This window comes from Homo sapiens, chromosome 11 (assembly GCF_000001405.40).
Source record: "Homo sapiens chromosome 11, GRCh38.p14 Primary Assembly".
Classification (NCBI taxonomy): Eukaryota; Metazoa; Chordata; class Mammalia; order Primates; family Hominidae; genus Homo; species Homo sapiens.
Genome location: NC_000011.10, coordinates 2,945,748 through 2,970,083, shown reverse-complemented (window position 1 = coordinate 2,970,083; position 24,336 = coordinate 2,945,748). Strand labels below are relative to the sequence as shown.

Genomic DNA, 24,336 nt, shown 5'->3' with positions numbered 1-24,336 from the left:
TGGCCCAGTGAGTGGTTTGGAGGTGCAGACTTAGAAAGCAAGGTGTTTGATGGGAGATAGTAGAGGATTCGGCAACGATATTCTACGTGAAGCCGCTGCATTGTTTGTAAACTTTTATTTTCGTTACCTATGTTGCATCTTTTTTTTAGGGAGACATGAAAAGTAAAGTAGTCGTCACAGAAAAAGCAGCGGCAACGGCTGAAGAGCCAGATCCCAAAGGAATTCCAGAGTTCTGGTTTACCATCTTCAGAAATGTGGACATGCTGAGTGAATTAGTCCAGGTAAGCACACTTCTGTCTTGTAGAGAGATTATGTGCTAGTCTTCTAACATTACTTATCTATGGCATTTTTTAAGCACTACACTGGGCATTGAAAGATTGTTCATAGTGGGCGGAAGGGCACTTTCTCTGACCAGGACCTCAGATGAGCAGTCCTGATCTCACAGTGAATGGTTTATTCACAGTGGGGCTTCCATGCTGTCTTTTGCAGTTCTTGGTGGAAAGCTGGGCGCTTCAGCCTGATCCAAAACTTTCAAATCAGTTCCTTTTACCTCTTGTAAAGCTCTGTTGTCTTGCCTGTGGGAAAGCCTATGAATAGATTCCAGAGCCCATCTCTGTCTTCCTGTGGTGTGAGTGTGCAGGAAAGGGTGAGGGCAGGAGACCAGAGCAGAATGAATTTTGAAGGGATGAGCTGTGTGTTTGTTTGTGTGTGTGTGTGTACACACACATCTCAGTGAATTTTTGAACAAGTTGCTAATATTTTCTGATCATTTCTCTTGAAAAAGTGTCTATTTTTTTTAAAAAAAGAGGCCAGGCATGGTGGCTCATGTCTGTAGTCCCAGCACTTTGGGAGGTCAAGGTAGGCAGATCGTTTGAGACCAGCCTGGGCAGCATCGCGAAATCCCATCTCTACAAAAAATAGAAAAGTTAGCTGGGCGTTGTGGTGTGCGCCTGTGGTCCCAGGTACTTGGGAGGCTGAGGCAGGAGGATCACCTGAGCCGAGGAGGTTGAGGCTGTGGTGAGCTGTGATCACGGTGCTGCACTCCATCCTGGTGGGTGACGAGACCCTGTCTCCAAAAAAAAAAAAAAAAAAAAACAACACAACAACAAAACCCAACCACCATTTCTGATTTTGTCTTGCCTTGACATTTCACTTTCTGTAGTGAAATGGTGAACAAATTAAAAGGTAACAAATTTGGTTTTCCCTGAAATGAGTTATAATAGAAGTTTCTAGAACAGAGAAACAAATCTTGCCTTAAGTCTCACTGACTGACTTGCCGTCAGTTTTTATTGCTCCAGCGTCCCCAGAAACAGCACGTCTGCATTCAGACTTGCTCAGGACAGCTGCAGGCTCTGCTTGTGTGGGCAGAGTGCTTCTCCCATCACAGAGCATAGGCACTGTGCGTTGCAAACTGCTACATTGTAATTTGCACAGGATTTTACAGCTACGGTTTTTAATGGTTTTCACAAATGTATCACATTGCTGCCTCTGCTACCTCCCTTGTTTAATGCTTGTCCTGTGTCCTAAGCCAAAACTTGAGAAAAGATGGAAAGAATGATGTATTTCTTATTCTCCTTCCAGACCAGAAAGCATCTAAAATAGAACAGCCTTGGTTTTTCCTGATCTGAGCTTCCTTTTCATATGAAAAGGTGGAATTTAAGAAGACTAGACCATACTTTTAAAAGAATGCCATGCACCAGAATTTCATTGGAAAAATTAAGTAATGTCTACCAGAGCCGTAGTCTCACCCTGTGTATTACAATCACCTGAGCAGCTTTGAAAACTAAATAGCAAAAACTAAATGCCTCATCTGTCACCATGGCACTGAGAGTTTTGAGTTGGTTTTAGGAACTCTAATGTGCACCCTGAGAGTTGAAAATCTCCATGGCAGGGAGCAGGTGGAAAGACTAGCTCTTAGTTCGTTCTTCTCAGACTTCGGGGGGCATGGGGAGTGGCCATGGCAGTGCGGATTCTGGTTCTGTGGGGCTGTCTGGCTCATGGGCCCTGGGGTGATTCTTGCACTGCAGGGTTGGAGCATCTTCACGTGGGATTGGGGGTGCAGTGATAACAGGGTTTGGGAGCTAGAGTTAGGTGACTTGAGTGAGTTTTGGTGTCCCCTTCTGTGCGTGTGGCCACCTGGTTATGGCATTGGGGTCACTGGCCATGGATAGTGCTGCCTTGGGTTTTGAGAGCACAGTGAGGCATTTGGCCACATTTTAAATGGGGTGTCCCTTCTCATTCTCCCAGCACCTCTGTAGTAGTGTCAGTGCTTCAGCATTTCAGCCATGAAGTGTCTTTTGTTGCTTTTTGTTTTAACAGCTTTAAAAAGATATGCAGGGGTTGATAGAGTACTCATTTAATATGCAGAGAATGAGGAAATGTTATTTGTACTGTTTGTAACCTCATAGCAGGTAATGGTAGCATATTCTATTTTGATTTTTTTTTTTAACAATATTTTCTTTTTTTTTTTTTTTTAACGGAGTCTCGCTCTGTCGCCCAGGCTGGAGTGCAGTGGCGTGATCTTGGCTCACTGTAAGCTCCACCTCCTGGGTTCACGCCATTCTCCTGCCTCAGCCTCCCGAGTAGCTGGGACTACAGGCATCCGCCACCACGCCTGGCTAATTTTTTTATTTTTAGTAGAGACGGGGTTTCACTGTGTTAGCCAGGATGGTCTCGATCTGCTGACCTCATCATCCGCCTGCCTTGGCCTCCCAAAGTGCTGGGATTACAGGCGTGAGCCACCGTGCCCGGCCAACAGTTGTTTTTTAATGTCTGGTTTTGAAGTCTGCCATTTCTGAGAGAAGCCCTTTCATTTTTAAGGGACATGGTCTTGCTATGATGCCCAGCCTAGAGGTCAGTGGCTTTTCATAGGCACAGTCAGGACACTGCTGTCTCAGTCTCCTGGCCTCAAGGGGTCCTCTCGAGTAGCTGGGACTGTAGATATGCGCCACTATGCCCAGCTCATTTTGGTCAAATATTAAATTCCAAAGGCGGATTAACTCTGAGTCCCTTTGTTCTAAATTTGGGGATAGTTGAAATATATTTCTGCAAGGAGAGTGGAAAATTTGAGATGGTGGCTTTACGATCTGAGTGCGATGCCTCCAGTGTTGTGCCTTTGCTTCCTGAGTCTGAGCGTCTGCCAGTGTGGGGCATTACCTTAATATTTGCCCTGGACATTTAAAGTTTTGACCCACAGGGTACATGGCTGCTTGAGGAAATTAGAACATAATGGTTATTTTATGAAGTTTGGGAAAACATGAGTGGGCACTGCGTCTTTGAGTGGGATGAGTTTGAAGTCCCAGTGCCATCTCTGGAAAGCATGCTGGTGGAAGTGCTCATCTTGGTGATCTAGAGCCAGCGCATGCTTCTGTGGGTGGCACGCGCAGCATTGGAGACTGAACATCGCATGCAGGTGTGGCCCATTTCACAACTGCCTTTGGGTTACTTTTTGTCTAGATACTTGCAGGTATCTTTTTGTTGCTGTTTTTGTTTTGTTTTATGTCAGAAGAGTTGAAAATTAGGACTCAACGGAAAATCAGGCACAGAAAGGGGGGAAATACCTCACGTTCACACTCATGTGGGAGCTACAAAAACAGCTCACCGAAGCAGAGAATTGTTGATAAAGGCTAAGAGGGAGAGAGAGGGGAGGATAAATAGGGAGAGGTCTGTTATCAGATACAGAGTGACTGCTAGATTGGAGGAGTAAGTTCTGGTGTGTTGTAGCACTGTAGGGTGAATGTGGCTAACGATAATTTAGTGCGTGTTTTCAGAAAGCTAGAGGACGGGTTTTGAATGTTCAAAAATAAATGTTTGAGGTGATGGTCCTGATTTATTACACATTGTGTACGTGCATCAAAATGTCACTGTGTCCCATAAATAGTACAATTATTACATACAACTAAAAAAGAGAAAAAATGATTTAAGAAAAACTTAATGCAACTTCAAGACATTTTGAGATTCAGTGCCCAGACTTTGGGGGTAAAGAAGTGACTGCCATGTTACAAATGAAGTGCCTGCTGCCAGTGCGTGTTTCTGAGGATTCAGGTCTTCCCACTCCTCTTCTGACTTTCCTCACTGGGACTTTCTAAGCTGACAGGTATTGGCAAAATGAGTTTAAAGAAATATCACTTGTAAAATGATACAGACACAGATAAGAATTGTACGCTCTTCCATGATGCCCACTCTTCCATGGTGCCCGCAAGTTGGATCTCAGACACGCTCTGTGTAAGTGTTCTTAAAGAAGTAACCGTGTGTGGCCGGGCGCGGTGGCTCACGCCTGTAATCCCAGCACTTTGGGAGGCCGAGGTGGGTGGATCACAAGGTCAGGAGATCGAGACCATCCTGGCTAACACGGTGAAACCCCGTCTCTACTAAAAATACAAAAAATTAGCCGGGCATGGTTGGCGGGTGCCTGTAGTCCCAGCTGCTCGGGAGGCTGAATCCGGGAGGCGGAGCTTGCAGTGACCAAGATCACACCATTGCACTCCAGTCTGGGCAACAGAGCCAGACTCCGTCTCAAAAAAAATAAAGAAGTGACTGTGTGTATTGTGAGTTTTGGATACAGTCATGAGCCACATAACACATTTTGGTCACAACAGACTGCATATAGGATGGCGGTCCTGTAAGATTATGATACCATATTCTTACTGTACCTTCTCTGTGTTTAGATACACAAATAAGTACCATCACCAGCTGCTTCCAGTATTCAGTACAGTCCCATGCTGTTCAGGTTTGCAGCGTAGGAGCAATAGTGGATAGTAGGCTGCACTATCGAGGTTTGTGTAAATATGCTCTGATGAACACACGCCGAATTGCCTAACAATGTGTTTCTCAGGAGGTGCCCCCATTGTTAAGCCATGCACAACTTTATTGCCACAGGTGGGGAAGCTGGCTGCCAAGGCCGTAGCCGATCTAGCCTTCTCTTCTGACTTCCAGGCTTCTGCTCTTTCTCCTCAGAGAGGCTGAGGACCAACAGTCTTGGTTGGTAGCATTTCTGATCTCTGTGTGCAGTGGCAGCTGGTGGCAGGAAAGCAGTGAAGGCCCTTGCCCCAGTATTGCAGGCAGGCGGGTGTCAGTGGCACTGCCCTTTGCTGGCAGTGGCAGCCACCGTTGCTCCACACTAGGGAAAGGGGACACCTTGGTGCTGCTTCTCTATGACAGGGAGTTGGTGAATAAGTCTGGGTTTCTTCCTGGTAGTTATTACTTTGACAAGGACAGAATTCCAATAGGGCTAGTTATGCAACATCTGGGAGCCTCTGCAACCATGACTCTTCGGGAGAGATGTGTTGTTTTTTTAAAAGCCTGTTGGAATTTTTTTTCTCTTTTTGATTAGGAATATGATGAACCAATCTTGAAACACCTGCAGGATATTAAAGTGAAATTTTCTGACCCTGGACAGCCTATGGTGAGTACTGACTTGACCTTCTGGTTGGCATCAGACAGGGTCAGTCCACAAAGATGGAAGAACTTGGAGCCAGGGGCAAGAAACCCACAAAACCCACACCCAGCCACTCATCTGCTGGGCAGCCCTGGGCGAGACTGCTCTCCAAGAGTTAGACTGAGTACCGCATTGTGTGTTTGCTCCCTGAGTTCGATGGGGATCCCATTGCCTTTCTGTGTCATGCTTGGCACTGTAGTCGTGAGTCTGTGCTGGATGATTTGACAGTGATGCAGACCATGTGATGCCCCAGACCCTGCAGCCAGGTGGGCACCAATGCAGGAGTCAGGCTGCAACTCCTGGGCTGTAGTGGTGCTGTCCACTGTGCCAGGCCTTGGTCTTGTAGTTTGTTTGTTTACTCTGTTGGGTGGAGATGATACCATTCTTTTCCCAAGTGTCTCTGAAGTTTGCATGCATCTAATGTATATGTTTAACGTTTAAAAAGATGGGAGCTATGTACACATAATGATCAGCACTTATTCAGAAATCTGAACCTACTAGGTTTTACCCTAAAAAAAAAAGCGCAAATAAGACTGAAAAATGTTTTCCTGCTCTTTGATTTGTCCTGAAACACGTCTTTACAATATGCTTGCCATGGCATATCATTGCATTAGTAATGTTAGTGGCATGGATCAGCCTACCAGTTGGTAAGATAAGCTTGACTAGGTCAGCCCTTACTTTTATCTGAGGAACCATATGCTCATCTTCAAATGGCCTTGCCAGACTGTCTCATCCCAGCCTGGTTCTCCCAGGGAGCACTGTTCGTAACCCGTTAGCCTGGCTGTAGCTAATGGGTTCCATTCCGGTGCAATAGCATTTCCAGCGACACATGACTGACTGACTGGTGGCTTTCAGTTTCAGGTCTTGGAGACAAATGCTGCATGACGGGCTGTGGGTTAGGGATCTTGGGTGTGGGTGATGGTGGTAGGGGCCTGGGGCCAGTCACCAGTATCTTCCTTCCTCCCCATCTCAGCACTGGGGCCTGGGCTAATGGATGAGGGCCACTAGGAGTGGGATTTCTTCACTGCAAGTGCTGCAAGTAATGCCTGGGGCAGCAGCAGGGGTGGGCAGTGGATGTACCTGTATCTGTCTCTTCTACTTTTTCCTGTCTGTTTTCCACTATGGAAGGTGACATTCAGGTGTCCCTCTCTAGGTGGGGCCCTGGGAGCTGGGAGTGATGCCTGCTCACCAGCTGGGGGCTGCCCTCCAGAGGGGATACCCCATCTTCCTTGCCCCATGTGGGTTATAGCAGGTCCTTCTTCCTGGGCTTGCATCACTTCTGTTTAGACTTTATCACAGGGCCCCCAGGAGCCGCCTGGGCACGTCTGCCTAGTTTGCCCTCGTTGGTGTGCATTCTCTTCCCCATGGTGTGAGCGTGCGGTGCTTTAAGTTTCTGTGCGTTTTTTCTTTGTACTTCTTTCTTACCTGTGATTCATCCAGACGCAATTAACTTTTTTTCCCTTTTGGGTCAGTTCCTTTTTTTTTCCTTTCTTTTTTCTCCTTTTCTTTTCTTCCTTTTTTTTCTTTTTTCTTTTTTTTTTTTTTTTTGAGACCGAGTCTCACTGTGTCACCAGGCTGGAGTGCAGTGATATGATCTCGGCTCACTGCAACCTCTGCCTCCTGGATTCAAGCGATTCTCCTGCCTCAGCCTCCCGAGTAGCTGGGACTACAGGCACGCACCACCACGCCCAGCTAATTTTTGTATTTTTAGTAGAGACGTGGTTTCACCATGTTGGCCAGGATGGTCTCAATCTCTTGACCTCGTGATCCACCCGCCTCAGCCTTCCAAAGTGCTGGGATTACAGGCATGAGCCACCACACCCGGCCTCTTTTTTTCTTATTGGACACCTGTTTGATGATTTCCTAGGTCAATTTTCTTTCTTTCTTAGCCTGTCATCTTATTTTTCTCCATCTCATTGTGACTCATAGACTAGAGCTCTGGTTATGGTAGACTGTGGACCAGTAATTTTTTTTTTTCTTTTTACTTCCCTATTATAAAAGTCATATGTAGAAAATACAGGCAAGTGTAAAGAACACTATACAAATCTGTCTTCTAAAAGTAAATCTCAGCAGCTTAGTGAATTTCCCCATACTCTTTTTCCTTTGTAAAATTATTATGAAGCGTCTAATGCATTTTAAGTTATAAAGATAAATGAAACTTCAAAATGAGTCTTGACTGGTGTTTTTGCAGCATGCCTCATTCCCTTCCCTTGAGCGCTTGCCTACCTGGATACACAGTGCACACGTGTGCCACACGGCTCCTGCCACACCACATGGTGTGTGCACAGTGTCACCCTGCTGCCACATCACACAGGCTTGGCTGGGGGAATAGTTGTTACTGCAGCCATTGGCTATAAAACAGTTTAACATTCCCCTACATGCCCCACCTCCCCCATTGTAAATTGTTGCATTATGATCAGCATACTTGAACCCAAATTTGTGTTAAATTAAATGTTTGATGGTTTCCTTAGTTTAGGTTCCTTTCAGTGTACTTACCAGTCAAAGAAGATGAAGCTTTAGAAGGCCCAAAGGTCGTTCAGTTGGGATTACAGACATGAGCCACTCAGGCCCTGCCTAATTTTGCATTTCTTTAGTTGCTTGTAAGATTGAGCATGGTTAGCATATTTATGGCTTACCTGGCTGTAGTGCGTGTGTGAATGAAGCAGTCTTATTTTCAAGCCACTTTTCATTTGGGCAGCTAAACAGTTTCTTGAATCATCTTCAGTTGTCTTTGGGTTACTCTTGACTGAACAAAGGCAGAGGGGAGAGAAAAAAGGAAAATAGGAAGAAACATGAATCTATCTATAGAAAAGTAGGCTGGGTGTGGTAGCTCATGCCTGTAATCCCAGCACTTTAGGAGGCCAAGGTGGGAGGATTGCTTGACCCCAGGAGTTCAAGACCAGCCTGGGCAACATAGGGAGAACTGGTCTTTAAAAGAGAAAGTAAAAAGGAGGGGAAAAAATGAGTAGGACATGGTGAAGGACCACAAGTCTAATAGTACTATTTGTTTTATTGGGGCCACCCCATGCCCTGGGTTGGTTGTCCACACTGTGGTCACAGCCTTAAACAGTTCTGGAATCATAGCAGTCTCTCCATTGGTTGGCTACTTGTCTTCCCTCTTTATGTTGGTTTTTTTTTTTTTTTTAAGCCGTGGAGGGTTGGGAGAGAAATAGGCATTTTATTTGATGCTGATTCCCTGTAGCTGCCTCTTCCTTTCCTTGTGATTTTTGCCAGGCAGGTGACTGGCCTTTCGTTTGTGTGGTTCATCTGCAGTGCCCTACCCGCTTCCTTTGCTCTTGCCAAGGCCAGTGGAGAGCTCCTAGCCAGATCCTGCTGTCATCCCTTCTAGAAACCGACTAGACTGTCTCCCTGATCCTGACTTCCTAAGCCCTCATGCCCCGCCTCCTCCTCCACCTTTCTTTGAAAGTTGTTTTTTCACTTCTCCTTTGTGCAAGTGGTTTGTTTGAATGTATAAACTTTTTTTGCTGTATATTTTTTTTAGTCCTCTTAATTTCCCCCCCGTTGATGGTTTTACCATTACAATGAAAATGGAAACAGCTGACATTTAGCCAGCCTTGCCTATAAACGCGGCTCTAAGTGATACAGATTAACCACCAAGGCAGCTCCTAGAGAGGGAGAGAGTTATTTCCAGTGTAGAGATGAGGAAACTAAAGCACGGAGACATTGAGTAGCTTCCGCGAGTTGCCTAGCAGTGTAGGCAGAGATGGGATTTGAATCCAGGCTGTCTGAGCGTAGAACTGGTCTTGTAAACTGTCTATAAATTACTCAACCAAGCGCATCTTCCATGTTTTTCTTCTATAAATAGGGATGAGGTCAATGTCTTTGCACATATCGATGCATCCATCCAGGTATTTTTCTCAAATAGAACAAATTCCTCAAAATAGAATTACTGAGTCAGGGAATATGCCTTTTAATTTAATTTTTTTTGATATTGCCAAATTGTCCTTCATAAAATCTGTCGACAGTACATGAGTGTGCTCAGTACCCCAAAATCCTGGCCGGGTCTACATATTTTTGTACATTTTGCCCCAAAGAAAGGCATCTCATTTTGGTGTTCATGTGTTTTGTTACTCGTGAGCATGAATGCCTTGTTGCTGCTGTTGGTTGTTCTATGCCTGCGTTCATGTTTGCATCCTTTTTCCCGGTGTGCTCACGTCTCTTCCAGGTCTGTAGCGTGCTTTGTAAGTGAGGGATGAGCTTTCTGTCCTTGTAGAGATTTGTCCTTTTCTCCCACCCACCTCCCGGGAGAAAAGCTGTGGGTCACTGCTTTCACTGCACAGCACAGAGTAGAGACCCTGGCTTCCCCCAGCAGGGTGGGGGCTGGGGCTTAGGCTGAGCGGAAAAGGACAGGAGGAGGATGGACTGCTGGTCCCCTTACTTTCCCCTAGTCACCTTCCCTCCTTCCAGGAAGCAAGGGCTGGGAGCAGCTAAGAGAAGCTAGGATTTCTTAGGAGAGCTTGACGCCTATTGGTGAGGAGGCATTGGAGGGGGAACATGCCCCTTACTCATGAACTGAACAGATATTTCCCGCCAGTCCATCGTTGGTTTTTTTAACCTCACGCTAGTCTTTTTTGCGGTGGAGAAGTTTTTCTTGTTCATGGCCCTATCTGTTGAGCTTTCCCAAAATAGCTTCTAGTAAGTGTTGTGTACTCCAAGCAATCTGTCCTCGTTATTTTTCTATTTTAACTGGTGCTTACTCTGAATTTCTACTTTTAGTCTTTTGTGTTAGAGTTCCACTTTGAACCCAACGACTACTTTACCAACTCAGTCCTGACAAAAACCTACAAGATGAAATCAGAACCAGATAAGGCTGATCCCTTTTCCTTTGAAGGTCCTGAGATTGTGGACTGTGACGGGTAAGAAAATGTCATTCTACCTTGTTTTTCTGAAACAAAATCAAAAGATAATTTTGTAACTTGATGGGTAAGATAGAAGTAAGGAATAAAGTACAGTCTTGAGTCTGCTTAAAAGCCTAAAAGCCTGGTAGATGTATATTTCAATAGTCTTTCAGTTTGGGAATGCTCATAGTGCAGAACTTGGAGATGGCGGCTGAACCTGGGAAATGAGTCACGTGGTTGCACATGCAAGCCTTTGGGATAGTGCCCTGTTTCTTCATTTTAATGAAAGTAGTGGATTCTCTAGACATCGTGAATTGAAGTTCTTAAAATTGAATCCATGGATTACCCTCAGCAAATAAATACTTATTGAATGAATGAGTCTGAGTCCAGGGCTATATTGATCAGCTGATTGCTTTGGAAATAGGTGGGGGCAGCATAGCTGTTGTTTGACTCACTGATTTCAGTCTTTATAAATCACTAAAGAGAGAATTTGGTTTAGAATTAATTTCTCCAGGTTGGGTTGACTGAGAAATGGTTTTAGTCTTGACTTGAAACAATTACGTTTATTTACCAGAAGTAAATAGTAATTGTTAATTCAGGACTTTATTAAAATCCTGCTAGAGTAATTTAGAAAGATGATTTTCCAGGGCCAGGACATCATGTGAGAAAAAGGCCTGGCCTTACCAAGCATGTTCTTAAGCGGGCAGTATTGAGATCTGCCAGGTGTTGCCTGGGTCTGTGGTGATTGTGTGTTAGAGAGAGCGTGCTGTGCTCAGCCCTCGCCAGCATCCCTGGGGCTGGAGTGGTCTGCACTGGCCATCAGTATTCCCGGTGGCCACCTCTTTCCTTTTTTCAGCTTGTCGTGCTCAGTTGGCTGCTTTGAACAGCAGCAACTCCTCCTTCCTTGGGAAACCGCGGACAAGTTCTTGTGCATCATGCAGACTTGACGGGGCTTTGCCACAGAATATACATTTCAGAGTCCTGATGAAATGTCTTGGGAAAATAATACCATTGTTCCAGAAGTCTGAAGTTCCAGTGGTCACACCCAAGTTGAAAGAGGACCAGGCTGTTTCTCTTTTTGCCAACCTCCAGATGAACTTCATGGGCCATTGTATTTGGTTTGCAGATTGGTTTTATTTCGTTTTCCAGGTTTGGCATAGAGCTGTGGTTTGCTTCCTGCATGCATTTGTAATGGATTTTTCTCATGGATTGTGTGTTCCTGACAGCTGTCTTGTCCTGGTAGGTGTACTATTGACTGGAAGAAAGGAAAGAATGTTACTGTCAAAACCATCAAGAAAAAGCAGAAGCATAAGGGTCGAGGCACTGTTAGAACAATTACGAAACAAGTACCCAATGAGTCCTTTTTCAACTTCTTCAATCCATTGAAAGGCAAGTCTGTTGGTTGTTAATATTCATTATGTTCTTATATAAAATAATTTTGGTCACCTGATAGATTCCTAACACCCAGAGACTTTAGTCCTCTTTTTTCAGGCAAGTGTGGTCAGTAGGGGCACATTGCTGTGTCCCAGGCTGTTCTGTTGGTGCGCTGGCAAGTTTATCGCGGGGGGCAGAGGTAGCTAGGACAGTAAGAGTAGGATTGTCATCTTCTGCAGGAAAGGGAAGAGCTTTACTCTGCTTGGCTGTAGCCCAGGCAAAAACTTGCAGTTCTGTTTTAAGAAAACTGAATCGAGTATTTGCACCTGGGCTGCTTCCTCACTTGGACACCTGGAGCACCCTTCTCCACCAGCTGGCATTTCTGCCCCGCTGTTGTGTCTGGTTCGCACCCCCCGGGGACCACTCCCAGCCTCGGAGAGCTGCTGGGTTTGCTCTGCAGGTACCCGTTACTGCTGTACGCTGGTTCTAGTTGTGCTGCTTTTGGATCATCTGCTTAGTCCCCCTTTTCTTGTAATTTTTTATGCATAATTTGATAGAATTTTTTGGAATTTATATATTGTAAGAAACACAAGTAGTTGGGACTTTCATTTTTGAAAAACATCGGCAGAATCACAGCTTGGAAGCTGCTTCTTTTTGTTTATTTATTTATTTTTTAAATTTTCCTAAGTGGTAAAATAAAGATGAGACCTTTGAGCTAGTAAAGGTTGACCAATTGATTTTAAGAGTAAATTTCTTGGGATTTTTCATATAATTTCCTAATCGCGAGAAAATGTGAAGGTCAAGCAACTTGTCAGTGTTAAAATATCCATATTCTCTTTAGTTTCCATGAACTAAAACATAATTTGAAGTGAAGAGATGCCAGCCCCTGCTGCAGATAATCAGTGAGTGTTTGTTTGTATGTGGGGCCACAGGGCGGATCTCTTCTCCAGTCTGAGTGATTGATTTTTTGATTTTGTCTCTGAGCTTAGCACCCTTATTTATCAAGCTGCCCTTCAGAGTTCAGTCCATTATTTTAATTGTGGTGCCTATTTTCTGCAATTAGACTTTGAACCTAGAAGATGCAAATACATACGGTTTGGGGAATGAGAGCAGTCATAAATTTAGATATTACATTTCCTTTTTTTGGAAGATTCCTTTTAGACACTTGGGTTGGGCATACTGGAGATTGTCTGTGAATTCAGCGTGAAGAAGGGAGGCTTTAATTTCTGGAATCACTTTGTGTAGGAAGTTCTCTTAAAACTGATTTAAAAATAATTTTTAGGATAAAAATGGAGTTGATAATGGACTCAAGGGAATTTTTAAGTGTTTTTTTTTTTAGATTCTAAAACTTTTAGGGTATGATGGTTGCACAACTCTAAAATTAACGTACTGAAAGTCATAAAGTTGTACATTTAGAGTGTATGCCTTTTAATGGTATGTAAATCCCATCAGTAAAGCCACTTTTAAAGTAATCAAACACATAATACCAAATGGTAAGTGCTTTGAAAAAAATTGAGGATGGCTGCGGAATAGGTAATGGGGTAGTGAAGGAACAGACAAAATGGACTCCTGTGGTGTGAAGTGAAGGAGGCATTAGCTAGTGAGTCCAGCTCCTTTGTCCTTAAAACTGCAAAGCCAGTCCAGAAGTATGAGTGTTCAGAGTCCTTGTACTATTCATGACTTGGGCCAGAGTGCCCTGGGGAGCATGCTGCTCCAGCATTTAGACACCCAGCCATGCTCCTAACCCATGTCTAAAACCCCTGGGTGATGCTGGCACACCGAGGCTTGGGAACTCTGCCTCACTCATGGGTGGTGTTTACGCACCCAACATTCATGTCTCAGCAGCAAACAGCAAGTGCTGCCAGGGTTGTGGTCGCTTAATGGGAAGGGAGACTCAGAGAGGAGAGCCCAGTGAAGATTGAAAAGGCAGGTATGAGACTAAGCAGAGTAAACATTCAACTCCTGATGAAGCTCAGGGTCTTGTAGTAAATGTTTCTAAAATCAGGGGGTTGGATCTTCTACCAGTTGAACGTTGCACAGCTTCATTGAGTGTGGTTAGAAGTCCCTATCTGTCTTGGTGGGCTTAGCTCGTCTGAGCATCAGCTTTCGCTGAGGAATTGCGCCACTCTACAGGGGCCCCTGGTGGGCATTCCAGCACTCTCCAAACAAACAGAAATGCAGTTTCTGTCTCGCTGATTTGCAGTGCCTTAGTAACACTCACAGCTTATAAGGCTTAAGGACTTTCTCTTTCCTGCACCATCATGTATAGTTCTGCGGGACATGAGTTAAGTTTCCCCATAAAGCACAAATGCACTGAATGGCCACAGCCTGGGGGCTGTTTGCCATTCCTCCTGTTAATATATTAACTCTCTCAAAATGATCTTCTCAAGCTTGAGTGCCAGCCCATGGCACATGATGGAGGAGGAGAAGGGAGGGGGGCATAGAGGCACTCAGGCCAGCTTCAGAAGTGGTGGATGGAGCTTGCAAAGATGTCTGTGAGGAGATGCAAGGCTTTGGGGATTTCTGTTAAACCTCGAGGTGAGAAATGTTACATTTTATCTACCAGCACAGCTTCCTCCTGTGTGGGCTTTAAAATTCTGGGAGTTGTCACTGTAATTTAAATATGTTTTGTCTTTTCTTTTTCTAGCATCCGGGGATGGAGAATCACTGGTAAGATTTGTTGTTAATAGTCTTATTTTCCTGTTGAAGTCTCTCCTGAGTGAATGTCTACTTGTCTACTTGTTAAAAAAAGTCCAGTCCTGGCTGTGTGTGGACTGGGTATGCCAGTGATCTTAATGCTTTGGGAGGCTGAGGTGGGAGGACTGCACGAGTCCAGGAGTTTGAGACCAGCCTGGGCAACATAGCACAACCCCATCTCCACAAAAAATTAAAACCAAATAAATTAGCCAGCCGAACATGGTGGTTCACGCCCGTAATACCAGCACTGTGGGAGGCCAAGGTGGGTGGATCACCAGAGGTCAGGAGTTCAAGACCAGTCTGGTCAACATGGTGAAACCCCGTTTCTGCTTAAAATACCAAAAAAAAAAAAAATTAGTTGGACACGGTGGCAGCGCCTGTAATCTCAGCTACTCAGGAGGCTCAAGCAGGAGAATCACTTGAACCCGAGAGGAGGAGGTTGCAGTGAGCTGAGATTGCACCACCGTATTCCATTGGGCGACAGAGCAAGACTCCGTCTCAAAAGATAAAATAATAAATTAGCTGGACATGGTGGTGCACTGTGTAGTTCCAGGGTCGCTGGGGCCCAGGAGCTTGAGGCTGGAGTGAGCTGTGATTGCACCACTGCCCTCCAACCTGGGTGATAGAATAAGACCCTGTCTCTTAAAAAAAAAAAATCCATTTCTGTTTCCTAAAACTCTGGGATTAATTTGAAATCATTACACATCTAAGTAAAAGTATGTGTTTCATATGTTGATTTCAGTAGCAAATGTGCAGTGCTTTAATACTGCCTGTTTCCCATATGTGAGACTGATACCGCCTACTCTGGGTGAGACCTTTGGACAAGTTGTGGAGCTGTAGGGCCCTCACTTCCCACTTTCTCTGCCATTTTGCTTCAGTAGCTCTTTAAAGCTACTTAAAGTTGTTTTAAAGGGGCTTTGAGTGTCTAGTGGCTGTCCCCCAGCAGTGCAGGAGTTTGGTGTTTTAAGTTAAGTAAATCAAAAGTGAGGGGCTGAGGTTTGGCTGAGGGTGGTGAAGTGAATGTTTTTATCCCATTAAAATGAGTTAACACGTAGGTTTTTCCTCCTCAGGATGAAGATTCTGAATTCACATTAGCCTCTGATTTTGAAATTGGACACTTTTTCCGTGAGCGGATAGTCCCGCGGGCTGTGCTGTACTTCACTGGGGAGGCCATAGAAGATGATGACAATGTATGAGGCTCGGGGAAGGGGGGCTTCCACCTGGGTGCTTATCTCTGTTGGTGCAGAGTGGCCCTGAATTGTGGCTTAGGAAACCCCCATGCCTAATCTTTTTATTACATCATCAGCCAGATATGTAGTCCAAGCTGCTGTCCTTGTTGTGGGGGGAATACGCTTGAAGAGGAGAAGTCTGAGGAACAGAGCAGGAAAAGCAGGTGTCTGTGAAGCAGTTTCAGAGGTGATTGCCAGTTTCCTATGTGAGCCCTGCCTAGTGACTCAACAATATTCTCTCAAAACCTAAGCTTCAGGGAACTTGTGAACACAGGGAATATCTCTTTTATGGAGGTCTGGCCACAACAAACATTTATTGACAGTGGACTTATGCTAGCCTGTGGTTCATCAACCCAAAAGAAATAGAAATTCCTGAACTTCTATCTAATTAGGTAAAAAGGAAAAAAAAGAAACCCGTGCTCCCGAAGAAAACAACAAGATTGCATGTCACTTTCCTTTCTGGGCTTGAGGGAAGCCAGCTCTTCCACAGTCAGAACTTGCGGGTGCACAGCCCAAGTACCGCTTAGAAACTCCCATCCTCACCAAGGCTCAAGCAGCTTCAAGTCTTCTTGATCTGTGGAAAATAAAGTTTTGTTTTATAGACTGTTACTGGAAGTATGTTCTAGATGATACTCTCTTTCTTGTGGAGCTCTTAGGTTTCTTTTCTTAGAAGGTCTGGTCTGTTGGGGCTTCAGACAGGGCGGCAAGAGCTTAGGTGGGTTCAAGGGCCTTAGCCCCCTGTGGCAGTAAAGGCCAACATCTCCTCACACCTCTCCCATTGTACTGAGTTCCACCAGTGGGGAGAATAGGCCAGCGTGCTCTTTATCAGCTGTTAGGTCTTAGACTGTTCATTTAACTTCTAAAACTCAACTTGCTGGCTCATCCCTAGGTTGGGAGGTGATTGCAGGTCAGGGAACATGGACAGTCAGGTAGCTGCCAAGACATAGTTTTACAAATTCTAGACCAGCACTTTCCAGTAGAACTTTCTCTGTTGATGGAACTGTCCTCTGCCTGCTTGGTCCAGTGCAGTAGGACTGACCACTTGAGGACTTGAAATATGGCTGCTGAGACTGAAGAACTGAACATTTCATTTACCTTAGTTTAAATTTAAATAGTGAGCTAAGGGCTAGTGGCTACACATTGGAAAGCTTATCTGAAACTGTTTTGATCATACACCCGTCAGTTTAAAGGACTTGAATATGCATGTGTGCTATTTGCTTACTTATATGCGGTATCTGTACTGCTGGTGAGCACTGTGCCACATTTGCTTATAGTACATGTGCGTTTCATTCACAATACGTTCAGCACAGGTACTACTGATGAGCAGTGTCAGTTAGAGGCTAGAAGTGCCAGCTCAGATTAGACTGCTCAGACTCGCATCCCCATTCTCCCTTTAGTAGCTCCACCACCTCCTTGAGCTTCAGTTTCCTCAGCTGTAAGTAGAGCTCATGGTAAAGACTCTGGTTACTTGTTAAGCCCTTAACATAGCACCTGGCACAGAGCAATGACTCAGTAAGTGTTGGCATAAAGTGTTTTACTAATGTTACTTTCTAGACCGTACCCCAACACTAGAAAGTTGTTGGAGGAGGAGGTGAATGTGGGAACCCTGGTCTTGTCTTCTCTGCACGTGGCAGCTCCTGCTCTGCCCAGGTGGGTGATGCATCTGGAGCAGCCCCTGTGCACAGCCCCTTAAGGGCAAAATGCTGTCCTTAGAGCCTTGGAATAGGCCCTGGAGCCTGCTGGAGGCTCGTTGGATCTGACGTGAAATGGAAGAATATTGAGAAGCCTTTCCCTGCCTGATGCCAGTTAGGGTCCTTAGAGCGGAAGGGCGCTGCACCGTGGCCACATCTCATCCTGGCTGCTGCGTGGCGCCAGGAGGCTGTGCACACTGTGTGAACTCCACACCAGCACAGTAGGGCCCTTCTAAGTTCCACCGAAGTTGGCTCTAAGCAAATACATGGTGTGAGCTCAACAAAATGGGAAATGTTGATAAATGAAGCTGCATTTTCATGCACTACCCTTGTTATGCAACCAGTAGTGATAAGGTGGTTTTGCTTTTGGTGTAAGTCTCATGTTTGAAACTTGATTTTTAGTCTGACCAATGATGTATTTGGATGTAGGAGAAACTGATTCAAGACAATTGACTAATGGTGGAGGTTCACCTTTGAGCACCTTATTGATCACTTTAAAGATTAAACACCAAAGTTTTAATATATTTCTACTAAGGTTTCTTTTCCCTTTGTATGAGATGTAAAATGATACCCAGATTCCTGTATCCAATAACATTATGCTGCTGGTTCGATCAGCCTTGTAGAAAATTTAAGGAAAACAAATTCATCGGTTTACAAAAATCTTTTCCTGTGTGCCTGCTCCTCGGTGTGAGAACAGCCAGGGCAGAGCTGTGGTGCCAGGTTCCCAGCTGTGTCCAGGGTACACCCTGGCTGACCAGCTTCCTATCCTATTCCTTGTTTTGCGTGACTTTCAATTTCCTGGCATGCTTTTAAAATGCGCTGCACACAAGCAAATGGCTCCTCAGGCAAGCGAGGCCCAGCAGGCAGCGTGGCTGGACTTTCTGCTCCTCTTAGGCTTGGTCAGTGAGTCACTTGATGGGACTGGTGTCTTGGGCAGGCTGCTGTCATGTTTTGTAAACCTAAAAATGTTTTTCTGTGTTTCTCCAGTTTGAAGAAGGTGAAGAAGGAGAAGAGGAGGTAAGAGACAGGTTTATGCAGTGCCACTTACCTCCCTGAAGTTGTTTCTTTGGCTTTCTCTGCTTGAAGGTTATGGACTCACAGGGCTGTGTTAAACCCATTTTTTGTGACGCTGTCTTTGATTCTAAGAATGTTCTTAAAACACTAAGCAGAAATGCATAGCAAATGCTGTGACAGTTTCCATCGTTTTTGACCCTGCAGTTGGTTCATGAAAATGTATCTTAGAAAATAATCATTTAACAAAATCTACTTTTTCAGAATTTTGTTTCTTTCAGGGCTCTCTGTGAGAACAAAAAGATACCTAGAAATAATTCTAAGTGTCCAAAGGAAGTGATGAGTCACTTGTGGGTAGCAGTAATTGATTTCCATCTAAGGCAGTGTTTTGCTCCTTGTGTTTGTGGATTGTGAATGCCACAAGAGTTTAAATCTTGTCATTCCAGCTAATTCTCACTTTTTAAATACAGGAATTAGAAGGTGACGAGGAGGGAGAAGACGAGGATGATGCGGAAATTAACCCCAAGGTTGGTAACTTTGGGGCCACCCAGACCTACTTATTATGCTGCACTCTTAGACTTTTAAAAATGTTCCCCACTTTGAGGCAGTAGTGTTAACAATATTCATTATTCCCTAATTAGAAAGTTTAAAATGTGTCAGAAAAATAGTGGAATGATTATTCAGACACTGTGTCTATAATTTGAGTGTTGAGTGTACATACTCAGTAGAAGCTTTTCCAGCTGTCTCAAGCTGTGTCTTATTTACATAGACTCCTCAGTAGAGCAACTTGACTTTCCAAGTGTTTCATTCTTTTAAGGTAAGGTAATGATTTAACTGACAACATAAATAAACTTTTCTTTGTGCGTGTTTGGAAAAGGTGCAAAGAAGGGACTTTGGGGCTCTTTTTGTTAAGGAACAGAATAATGGGATTGTGGGCATCATTTGACCCAGTTGCACTTGAGCTGAGCATGCCCAGATGATGTGTCTAGATATCTCATATGTCTCAGATAATTTAAAATAAATTGGAAAGGTTTACTAAAGAAAACTGAGTTGAAAATGAGTGGGCAACCCCATTAATTTTACCTGCAAATTTAGATTTTTATTTGTGGTCTCAGAGTAACTTAAATCAAGGTACTTTGACCATTTGGCACATTTTAAAATCAGAAGTGCTTAAATGTCATCCTACAGCATCATAAGAGTTTCTTCTTGTAAAACATGAAATGTGTAGTTCACTTGCCTCTTAAAATTAAGTATATTATGGGCTGTCAGAATACTAACGTTACCTGGTGTTTTTGTAATGTGTCTCTGTCCGACTAGACGTTTTTTGCTTGTTTTTACCCTTGTTTTTTGGAGTGTGCACTAAAAGCTGTCAGTGTGATATTCTGGCTCTGTCATCAGTTGGTTTAAACTGGCTGTTTCCATGAATGCATGTTCACAGTTGTGGTTCCTTCAAGGAAGGGATGGGAGAAGAGCTTTTAAAACTTTTTTGAGAATGTGTCTTATAAAGACTACTCTGGGAATAATCTGCTCATGGAAATGTTCATCTTCTAAAGTTTGGCCTGTTGATGTGGGAGGACTCTGCTGAAAGCGTACCTGTGCGCAGCACCGTGGTGGTGGGCGGTGAGGGCTGTAGGAGACCAAGGCCTGGGTCTGCCTTGCGTGCATCACAGTGTGCGGACAGGGAAGGTGAGGGCTGTCAGTCAGCCAGTGAACAACGTTGGGTGAATAAATGCTGCCCATCACTGCTGTGCGGGGTGTCTGATGGACCCAAGGGCCACGTGTGTTTATTGGGCTGTGTTTCCGCCTTGTGGGCGCTGAATGGACACTTTTAAGGTTGCAGTTGTAAAGCAAGGACTGGGGTCAATTGGCAGGGCCACCTCCTCAGACTCCGCGCACAGCTGCCTCTGTCCTTGTTGCACTTGTATCTCCCCCTCCCTGTATTCTGTGCCTCAGCTTCTCTTTTCCTCCCCTCTGTTGTTTGTTCTGCTTTCTCTGTCACCTTGGAGAACCTTGAGTCTCCTTTCACGTCCCAGGTTTCTAAAAGAGCATTCTCACCAGCCATTACAGAGAACATGATGTGGTGGATTACACATGCTAACACCCCATGAAACCTTTGATAAACGGTTATGTTGGTTGGGGGAGAAGGGACTAAAAACATGTTCCGGCTAATGGTGTGAATGAAGTTCAGAGACGGCCCGGCATGTGTGGCCAGGATAAGGCCAAGCCTGCTGTCCCTGTCACATGCACCTTCCAGAGAGATGGGCAGTGTTAGAGTCTGTGCAAGCAAAAGAAAACAAGGAAGGAAGGGAGGTTTTAGTATTGGGAGCAGTCTGATAGAAGTGAAAATCATGCTTCTGCCCATTTTGAAAGTATGATCTAGTGTTGAAGTTGTTCACCCCGAGTTCAGTATCTTGCAGCCCTTTTGTATCATGAGAAATTGTGGCCGTTTCCTCCTGTATAATTTTGTGCATTTCATTTTCTTTCATGCTGACAGTTCCTTTCAATTTTTTTCCCCATTTAGGTGTAATTTTTGTCTGTTAATCATTCATACGTTTCTAGGTAAGGTGGAATTCCATTCATACCTAACTTCCAAACTTCTGATCTATACTTTATACAATGCATTGTTTTGACTTTGAATAAAGAGGGAGTTGCTGTCCAGGTACACTCACTGTGTCACAGGTTTGACATAGGTGTCTGTTACATGTACTTTTAAAATCAACGAACCAAACCTAGATTTGGTCCCTGCTTTCTGAGCCCAGTGTTTCTTGCTAACCAAGTAGCAAAGATGTAACTTGGGTGTAATTTTCATTGCTGATGGTACTGCTTTCCAGTAAGAGGGCCCTGGATGGTCAGCAGTCTGCACGGTGGCACACACGGGCCACCATAAGCAAGCAGTCCTTGCAGAGAGCATAACACACTGGGCTGTCCCAGCTGTGCTCAGAACACACACTGGCAGTTGAAATTGGCCCACTGTCATTACCAACACGTGTCTGTTGAATATCTATACTTTTTGAATTCATGTTTTGTGCAGACCAATAGGTACACAGAGGGGTAACAGCTTTTACTGTGCCAGCATTTTTTATCTGAAACATGAACTGGCATCTGTTTTGGTGTCAGCAGTAAAAAGTACTGTTGTGAGGTTGGTGCTAGTTGAATGAAGCAAGAACCAGTTGTAGATGAAAGTGAGTGTCAGTAAGCCTGGAAGCTGTTTCCCACTCCACTTTCTTCAGTCCCTGTAGCTCTGCCCTGTCCTGGAATGCTGACAGGAGGCCGTAAGTAGACAGAGGCTCTTGCCCGTGACGAGACCTGTTCACTCGTGGCACTCGGGATGTAGTGGGAGAAAGCAGAGAGGTGGGGACAAGAGGTGCCATGAGGAACCCCACAACCATAGCAGGGCCTCTGCATGCCAGGATAAGTAGGCACTCCGTTTTTAAGGGTCTCGTCACAGAACATCAGCATGATCCTGGCAGCCCATAGACCAGACGTCCTTGAGGTCTTAGCGCCACCGCCTCCCTGTCTTCCTCATGTAGGCTGCTTTCATGGGAAACTGATGGTACATAGGGCGGATGCAGCTCTTGGAACGATTTTGTTTTCCAGGGCCAGGTTTCAGAATATGGCTGTATGTTTAAAATTATGTCTAGCTGCCATTAATTCCTGTTGTCCCCGCATGTCTGAAGAACTTAGCCACTCTTATTCCACCTGTACCCTCACCCACTCTCCCACGCCACCCCTCCCATGCCACCAGCTCTTTTGAAGAGAATCCTCGATGCGTGCCACCTATCCGTATTTCAGTATGCCTCCCTGGAAGAGAAGGGCAGGGTGCAACAGCAGCAACCCCCGAGGAGTGTCCCACTGAGGCTGCTGCCTCTTCAGCCATAGGGCTCTGGGCACTTGGGGCTTCTTCGCCAGCGCAGCTATGGTCGAGTGTGTTTCAGCGGCATGTCTTTGTTGCCTTTCTCAGGTCGAGTGTTATCTGTTCAAACCCCACCTTTTAAATGGTCCCATGAGAGATGAGATTTTTTTCCTATTAGTTGGTACCTTTTAAAATGCCAACTCCTCCTCCCTTGATAATCTTAGCATTGATTAATGACTCAACCATCATTAAAATTTGTGACATGAGATAAAGGACGCTTCAGTTTGGGAGTTTAGGTGTAGTTTTTTTTTTTTCGGCATGTGTCACAAGCTAAAAACAATTGGTGTCTCTCATATGTAAAATTCACTTCTAAAACTCCTGTCAGTCACTTGCAGAAGCTCCAGTGTGCTGTGTGAGCACCAAAGCCTGGCAGGGGTGGGCCACATGCTGCCTTCCTTCCCAGAGGGGGCTGTGCCCTCAAGGCACGGGGGAGGCAGCTCTTCCCAGAGTCAGGTGCATGGCCTACTCCCCTCCAGCAAGGCACTGGGTCATGACACCGGTCTTGAGAGAGTGTTCTATGCGGACTCTATTCCCTCTAGCAGTCTTCACCCAGGATATTGGTTTTATTTAGGACAGATGAATACTACATTCTCGTGGTTGAAAATACCTATTACATCATTTCTGCAACTTAGGATAATTTAGATTTATTTCTGGTTGAGCATTCCAAATCTGGAATCCTCCCGTGAGCATTTTCTTTGTCTTGGGTTCCAGATTTTGGAGTATCTCAGATTTGGGATTTGGGATGCTCAATCTGTGGTAGGATAAATTATAAAGTCCTGTGTATGACATGACATAGTATTTGCGTAATTTAAATGTACATAAAGATGGAGTCTGTCACCTTGTCACCAGCCCCAGTCTTCCCCGTCCCTGCACAGCTCCTTTACTGACATCCCATTTTCTAGGCGAGTCCCTTGGTGGAGGCACACTGCTTGTCCCACTCCTCCCCTCACTGCTCCTGCTCGGGGCGCCCTGCATCCCCCACACTCCTAAGGCCAGTGGCTCAGTGTTCTTGGCCACTACACTGGGCCACCTTCAGTCTACCCTTGAATGTCAGATTGACATGGCGAGGGTTTTTGGTCAGCCTCGTTTTGTCTTGGCCAGGCTCTTTGGGCAGCCTCTGGGGTGGCTGAGATTGGGAGCTTAGACACCAGGGTTCAAGGTTATTGATTTTGTTTTTTGCATATTTTACACATATTTTTTCGGCCATCCCTTAAATGTGATTTCCAAAAGAATGAACTGTAGCCTCAGCTTATACTGTGGAAGATATCATTTATGGTAACCCAGGGATCTTTTTGCCCCATACAGTACAAGTTCTTAGGTTCCATAGGCACGCTGGATTAAGGGCAATTTGTAATCTTAGCCAGAAATCATAGGTTACAGGTTCGTAAAGTTACTAGCGCAGAAGCATTAGCAAGATCGTGATGTATTTCTTAGGCTATTGTTGGCCTCCACACAAATTCATGGAGTTGCTGGATGTGGTTTAAAGGGTACAAGATCTCTGTGTTAGATAATATTGGAGTTAATCCATTCCTCTGGGAGGGGAATTTTGTGTCCCGGATGCCGTTACTGGAAGGATAGCATTGCCCCTTGGTGAGACTGTTAGGAGAGTGAAGGAGAGTGAGTGACAGATGGAGCTCTTGGGAGTGGCAGCTCATCATTTGTTGGTGCAGTACAGGCCACCAGAAGAGGATGGATCTGCCGGGGCGCTCCCTGGTAGTACAAAGAGCAGGAACCCGCTAGAGGAGAGATGTGCTTTCCATGAGCGCCAAGGGCCCAGCCTACCCCCAGACAGATGTGCCCTTGAGAAGTGGGGACTGTTGGCACCAAGAGGGGTTGCCTCCGCGGTGGCCTTCCTGGATGGAGCTGCCCGTGTTGAGCGCACTGTGCTCTGTGTGGGCAGGGGTTCCAGCTGCTTCCCAGCCCTTTCATGGGCAGGCCCCTGGAGCTCCACCACCCCAAGGAGCCCCAAAACCCTCCTGCTGAACATGCCATGAATTTGAATGCTTGAAGGCATAGCTTTAAAAACAAAAAAAAACCCTGCTTTGACTGCAGGGTGGTAGGGGGAGTTAGCTTTGTTTTTGTCACTATTTTTAAAAGTATATTTGCAGTAACCATTTTTTTCAAT

The 24,336-nt window shown here is 45.1% G+C and overlaps 1 protein-coding gene and 1 non-coding gene across 15 annotated transcripts in view, besides 7 other annotated features; both read left to right on the top strand.

Annotated features, from left to right (window-relative positions):
- The window catches only part of NAP1L4 (nucleosome assembly protein 1 like 4), a 47,893-nt gene that overhangs the window by 22,246 nt on the left and 1,311 nt on the right, over nucleotides 1-24,336 (top strand). For 8 of the 14 annotated variants that reach the window (NM_001369380.1, NM_001369382.1, NM_001369381.1 and 5 more), the window contains 8 exons: nucleotides 150-281; nucleotides 5,333-5,404; nucleotides 10,175-10,314; nucleotides 11,540-11,685; nucleotides 14,318-14,340; nucleotides 15,438-15,557; nucleotides 18,275-18,304; nucleotides 18,769-18,825. In NM_001369380.1, coding sequence (NP_001356309.1) covers nucleotides 150-281; nucleotides 5,333-5,404; nucleotides 10,175-10,314; nucleotides 11,540-11,685; nucleotides 14,318-14,340; nucleotides 15,438-15,557; nucleotides 18,275-18,304; nucleotides 18,769-18,825 — 720 coding nt within the window. Of the gene's footprint in view, nucleotides 1-149; nucleotides 282-5,332; nucleotides 5,405-10,174; nucleotides 10,315-11,539; nucleotides 11,686-14,317; nucleotides 14,341-15,437; nucleotides 15,558-18,274; nucleotides 18,305-18,768; nucleotides 18,826-20,819; nucleotides 20,858-24,336 lie in introns of all 14 variants that reach the window. The other 6 variants (NM_005969.4, NM_001369377.1, NM_001369376.1 and 3 more) reach the window with 1 other exon arrangement.
- Nucleotides 3,558-3,758: a silencer, noted in NCBI's record as "peak1165 fragment used in MPRA reporter construct". NCBI's record gives its function as "represses an SCP1 promoter by STARR-seq MPRAs in K562 erythroleukemia cells {active_cell/tissue: K562}" and the evidence as "EXISTENCE:reporter gene assay evidence [ECO:0000049][PMID:32103011]".
- Nucleotides 4,466-4,965: an enhancer, noted in NCBI's record as "H3K27ac hESC enhancer chr11:2986349-2986848 (GRCh37/hg19 assembly coordinates)". NCBI's record gives its function as "activates a minimal SCP1, AML or CMV promoter by ChIP-STARR-seq in naive H9 embryonic stem cells {active_cell/tissue: H9 hESC(naive)}" and the evidence as "EXISTENCE:reporter gene assay evidence [ECO:0000049][PMID:30033119]".
- Nucleotides 6,191-6,313, top strand: SNORA54 (small nucleolar RNA, H/ACA box 54). The gene has a single exon (NR_002982.1). It is a non-coding gene; the product is annotated as a small nucleolar RNA, H/ACA box 54 (small nucleolar RNA).
- Nucleotides 8,735-9,241: an enhancer, noted in NCBI's record as "NANOG hESC enhancer chr11:2982073-2982579 (GRCh37/hg19 assembly coordinates)". NCBI's record gives its function as "activates a minimal SCP1, AML or CMV promoter by ChIP-STARR-seq in naive H9 embryonic stem cells {active_cell/tissue: H9 hESC(naive)}" and the evidence as "EXISTENCE:reporter gene assay evidence [ECO:0000049][PMID:30033119]".
- Nucleotides 21,838-22,451: an enhancer, noted in NCBI's record as "H3K4me1 hESC enhancer chr11:2968863-2969476 (GRCh37/hg19 assembly coordinates)". NCBI's record gives its function as "activates a minimal SCP1, AML or CMV promoter by ChIP-STARR-seq in naive H9 embryonic stem cells {active_cell/tissue: H9 hESC(naive)}" and the evidence as "EXISTENCE:reporter gene assay evidence [ECO:0000049][PMID:30033119]".
- Nucleotides 22,452-23,067: an enhancer, noted in NCBI's record as "H3K4me1 hESC enhancer chr11:2968247-2968862 (GRCh37/hg19 assembly coordinates)". NCBI's record gives its function as "activates a minimal SCP1, AML or CMV promoter by ChIP-STARR-seq in primed H9 embryonic stem cells {active_cell/tissue: H9 hESC(primed)}" and the evidence as "EXISTENCE:reporter gene assay evidence [ECO:0000049][PMID:30033119]".
- Nucleotides 23,068-23,681: an enhancer, noted in NCBI's record as "H3K27ac-H3K4me1 hESC enhancer chr11:2967633-2968246 (GRCh37/hg19 assembly coordinates)". NCBI's record gives its function as "activates a minimal SCP1, AML or CMV promoter by ChIP-STARR-seq in naive H9 embryonic stem cells {active_cell/tissue: H9 hESC(naive)}" and the evidence as "EXISTENCE:reporter gene assay evidence [ECO:0000049][PMID:30033119]".
- Nucleotides 23,682-24,297: an enhancer, noted in NCBI's record as "NANOG-H3K27ac-H3K4me1 hESC enhancer chr11:2967017-2967632 (GRCh37/hg19 assembly coordinates)". NCBI's record gives its function as "activates a minimal SCP1, AML or CMV promoter by ChIP-STARR-seq in primed H9 embryonic stem cells {active_cell/tissue: H9 hESC(primed)}" and the evidence as "EXISTENCE:reporter gene assay evidence [ECO:0000049][PMID:30033119]".